The sequence below is a fragment of the Homo sapiens genome, chromosome 6 (genome assembly GCF_000001405.40).
Source record: "Homo sapiens chromosome 6, GRCh38.p14 Primary Assembly".
In the NCBI taxonomy this organism is placed as follows: Eukaryota; Metazoa; Chordata; class Mammalia; order Primates; family Hominidae; genus Homo; species Homo sapiens.
In genome coordinates, this window is record NC_000006.12 from 60,600,160 (window position 1) to 60,605,938 (window position 5,779).

Below are 5,779 nucleotides of genomic sequence, written 5' to 3' on the forward strand. Positions count from 1 at the left end.
ACCAGGAGATTATATTGTGTGCCTGGCTCAGAGGGTCCTATGCCCACTGAGCCTTGCTCATTGCCAGCACAGTAGTCTGAGATCAAACTGCTAGGCAGCAGCAAGGCTGGAGGAGGGGTGCCCGCCATTCCTCAGGCTTGAGTAGGTAAACAAAGCAGCTGGGAAGCTCGAACTGGGTGGAGCCCACTGCAGCTCAAGGAGGCCTGCCTGCCTCTATAGACTCCACCTATGGGGACAGGGCATAGCCAAACAAAAGACAGCAGAAACCTCTGCAGACTTCAATGTCCCTGTCTGACAGCTTTGAAGAGAGTAGTGGTTCTCCCAGCACGCAGATGGAGATCTGAGAACAGACAGACTGCCTCCTCAAGTGGGTCCCTGACCCCCAAGTAGCGTAACTGGGAGGCACCCCCCAGTAGGGGCAGACTGACACCTCACATGGCTGGGTACTCCTCTGAGACAAAATGTCCAGAGGAATGATCAGGCAGCAACATTTTCTGTTCAGCAATATCTGCTGTTCTGCAGCCTCCACTGCTGATACCCAGGCACCTGGTCTGTAGTGGACCTCCAGCAAACTCCAACAGACCTGCAGCTGAGGGTCCTGACTGTTAGAAGGAAAACTAACAAACAGGACATCCACACCAAAACTCCATCTGTAGGTCACCATCATCAAAGACCAAAGTTAGATAAAACCACAAAGATGGGGAGAAAAACAGAGCAGAAAAACTGAAAAATCTAAAAATCAGAGCACCTCTCCTCCTCCAAAGGAACACAGCTCCTCACCAACAATGGAACAAAGCTGGACGGAGAATGACTTTGATGAGTTGAGAGAAGAAGGCTACAGATGATCAAACTACTCCGAGCTAAAGGAGGAAGTTTGAACCCATGGCAAAGAAGTTAAAAACCTTGAAAAAAGATTATACAAATGGCTAACTAGAATAACCAATGCAGAGAAGTCCTTATAGGGCCTGATGGAGCTGAAAACCATGGCATGAGAACTACGTGATGAATGCACAAGCCTCAGTAGCCTATTCAATCAACTGGAAGAAAGGGTATCAGTGATGGAAGATCAAATGAATGAAATGAAGCAAGAAGAGAGTTTAGATAAAAAAGAATAAAAAGAAACGAACAAAGCCTCCAAGAAATATGGGACTATGTGAAAAGACCAAATTTATATCTGATTGGTGCACCTGAAAGTGACGTGGAGAATGGAACCAAGTTGGAAAACACTCTGCAGGATATTATCCAGGAGAACTTCCCCAATCTAGCAAGGAAGGCCAACATTCAAATTCAGGAAATACAGAGAACACCAGAAAGATATTCCTTGAGAAGAGCAACTCCAAGACACATAATTGTCAGATTCACCAAAGTTGAAATGAAGGAAAAAATGTTAAGGGCAGCCAGAGAGAAAGGTCAGGTTACCCACAAAGGGAAGCCCATGAGACTACAAGCTGGTCTCTCGGCAGAAACTCTACAAGCCAGAAGAGAGTGGGGGCCAATATTCAACATTCTTAAAGAAAAGAATTTTCAACCCAGAATTTCATATCCAGCCAAACTAAGCCTCATAAGTGAAGGAGAAATAAAATTCTTTACAGACAAGCAAATGCTGAGAGATTTTGTCACCACCAGGCCTGCCCTAAAAGAGCTCCTGAAGGAAGCACTAAACATGGAAAGGAACAACAAGTACCAGCCACTGCAAAAACATGCCAAATTGTAAAGACCCTCCAGGCAAGGAAGAAAGTGCATCAACTAACGAGCAAAATAACCAGCTAACATCATAATGACAGGATCAAATTCACACATAATGTTATTAACTTTAAATGTAAATGGGCTAAATGCTCCAATTAAAAGGCACAGACTGGCAAATTGGATAAAGAGTCAAGACCCATCAGTGTGCTGTATTCAGGAAACCCATTTCATGTGCAAAGACACACATAGGCTCAAAATAAAAGGATGGAGGAAGATCTACCAAGAAAATGGAAAACAAAAAAACGCAGGGGTTGCAGGCCTAGTCTCTGATAAAACAGACTTTAAGCCAACAAAGATCAAAAGAGACAAAGAAGGCCATTACATAATAGTAAAGGGATCAATTCAAGAAGAAGAGCTAATTATCCTAAATATATATGCACCCAATACAAGAGCACCCAGATTCATAAAGCAAGTCCTTAGAGACCTATAAAGAGACTTAGACTCCCACACAATAATAATGGGAGACTTTAACACCCCACTGTCGACATTAGACAGATCAATGAGACAGAAAGTTAACAAGGATATCCAGGAATTGAACTCAGCTCTGCACCAAGTGGACCTAATAGACTTCTACAGAACTCTCCACCCCAAATCAATAGAATATACATTCTTTTCAGCACCAGACCACACCTATTCCAAAATTGACCACACAGTTGGAAGTAAAGCACTCCTCAGCAAATGTAGAAGAACAAGAATTATAACAAACTGTCTCTCAGACCACAGTACAATCAAACTAGAACTCAGGATTAAGAAACTCACTCAAAACCGCTCAACGACATGGAAACTGAACAACCTGCTTCTGAATGACTATTAGGTACATAACAAAATAAAGGCAGATATAAAGATGATCTTTGAAACCAATGAGAAAAAAGACATAGCATACCAGAATCTCTGGGACACATTCAAAGCAGTGTGTAGAGGAAAATTTATAGCACTAAATGCCCACAAGAGAAAGCAGGAAAGATCTAAAATGGACACCCTAACATTACAATGAAAAGAACTAGAGAAGCAAGAGCAAACACCTTCAAAAGCTAGCATAAGGCAAGAAACAACTATAATCAGAGCAGAACTAAAGGAAATAGAGACACAAAAATCCCTTCAAAAGATCAGTGAATCCAGAAGCTGGTTTTTTGAAAAGATCAACAAAATTGATAGACTGCTAGCAAGACTAATAAAGAAGATAAGAGAGAAGAATAAAATAGATGCAATAAAAAATGATAAAGGGGGTATCACCACTGATCCCACAGAAATACAAACTACCATCAGAGAATACTATAAACACCACTATGCAAATAAACTAGAAAATCTGGAAGAAATTTATAAATTACTTGACACATACACTCCCCCAAGACTAAACCAGGAAGAAGTTGAATCTCTGAATAGAACAATAACACGATCCGAAATTGAGGCAATAATCAATAGCTTACCAACCAAAAAAAGTCCAGGACCAGATGGATTCACAGCCGAATTCTACCAGAGGCACAAGGAGGAGCTGGTACCATTCCTTCTGAAACTATTCCAATCAATAGAAAAAGAGGGAATCCTCCCTAACTCATTTTATGAGGCCAACATCATCCTGATACCAAAGCCGGGCAGAGACACAACCAAAAAAGAGAATTTTAGACCAATATCCTTGATGAACATTGATGCAAAAATCCTCAACAAAATACTGGCAAACCGAATCCAGCAGCACATCAAAAAGCTTATCCACCATGATCAAGTGGACTTGATCCCTGGGATGCAAGGCTGGTTCAACACACGCAAATCAATAAATGTAATCCAGCATATAAACAGAGTCAAAGACAAAAACCACATGATTATCTCAATAGATGCAGAAAAGGCCTTTGACAAATTTCAACAACACTTCATGCTAAAAAATCTCAATAAATTAGGTATTGATGGGCGTATCTCAAAATAATAAGAGCTATCTATGACAAACCCACAGCCAATATCATCCCAAATGGGCAAAAACTGGAAGCATTCCCTTTGAAAACTGGCACAAGACAGGGATGCCCTCTCTCACCATTCCTATTCAACATAGTGTTGGAAGTTCTGGCCAGGGCACTCAGGCAGGAGAAAGAAATAAAGGGTATTCAATTAGGAAAAGAGGAAGTCAAATTGTCCCTGTTTACAGACAACATGATTGTATATCTAGAAAACCCCATTGTCTCAGCCCAAAATCTCCTTAAGCTGATAAGCAACTTCAGCAAAGTCTCAAGGTACAAAATCTATGTGCAAAAATCACAAGCATTCTTATATGCCAACAAAAGACAAACAGAGAGCCAAATCATGAGTGAACTCCCATTCACAAGTGCTTCAAAGACAATAAAATACCTAGGAATCTAACTTACAAGGGATGTGAAGGACCTCTTCAAAGAGAATTACAAACCACTGCTCAATGAAATAAAAGAGGATACAAAGAAATGGAAGAACATTCCATGCTCATGGGTAGGAAGAATCAATATCATGAAAATGGCCATACTGCCCAAGGTAGTTTATAGATTCAATGCCATCCCCATCAAGCTACCAATGACTTTCTTCACAGAATTGGAAAAAACTACTTTAAAGCTCATATGGAACGAAAAATGAGCCTGCATTGCCAAGTCAATCCTAAGCCAAAAGAACAAAGCTGGAGGCATCATGCTACCTGACTTCAAACTATACTACAAGGCTACAGTAACCAAAACAGCATGGTACTGGTACCAAAACAGAGATATAGACCAATGGAACAGAACAGAGCCCTCAGAAATAATGCCACATATCTACAACTATCTGATCTTTGACAAACCTGAGAAAAACAAGCAATGGGGAAAGGATTCCCTATTTAATAAATGGTGCTGGGAAAACTGGCTAGCCATATGTAGAAAGCTGAAACTGGATCCCTTCCTTACACTTTATACTAAAATTAATTCAAGATGGAGTAAAGATTTAAATGTTAGACCTAAAACCATACAAACCCTAGAAGAAAACCTAGGCAATGCCATTCAGGACATAGGCATGGGCAAGGACTTCATGCCTAAAACACCAAAAGCAATGGCAACAAAAGCCAAAATTGACAAATGGGTTCTAATTAAATTAAAGAGATTCTGCACAGCAAAAGAAACTACCCTCAGAGTGAACAGGCAACATAGAGAATGGGAGAAAATTTTTGCAATCTACTTATCTGACAAAGGGCTAATATCCAGAATCTACAATGAACTCCAACAAATTTACAAGAAAAAAACAAACAACCCCATCAAAAAGTGGGCAAAGGATATGAACAGACACTACTCAAAAGAAGACATTTATGCAGCCAAAAGACACATGAAAAAATGCTGGCCATCAGAGAAATGCAAATCAAAACCACAATGAGATACCATCTCACAACAGTTAGAATGGCGATCATTAGAACGTCAGGAAACAGCAGGTGCTGGAGAGGATGTGGAGAAATAGGAACACTTTTACACTGTTGGTGGGACTGTAAACTAGTTCAAGCATTGTGGAAGTCAGTGTGGCGATTCCTCAGGGATCTAGAAGTAGAAATACCATTTGACCCAGTCATCCCATTACTGGGTGTATATACCCAAAGGATTATAAATCATGCTGCTATAAAGACACATGCACACGTATGTTTATTGTGGCACTATTCACAACAGCAAAGACTTGGAACCAACCCAAATGTCCAGCAATGATAGACTGGATTAAGAAAATATGGTCCATATACACCATGGGATACTATGCAGCCATAAAAAATGATGAGTTCATGTCTTTGTAGGGACATGGATGAAGCTGGAAACCATTATTCTCAGCAAACTATCGCAAAGACAAAAAACCAAACACCACATGTTCTCACTCATAGGTGGGAATTGAACAATGAAAACACATGGACACAGGAAGGGGAACATCACACACTGGGGCCTGTTGTGGGGTCGGGGGAGGGGGAGGGATAGCATTAGGAGATATACCTAATATTAAATGACGTGTTAATGGGTGCAGCACACCAACATGGCACATGTATATATATGTAACAAACCTGCACATTGTGCACATGTAC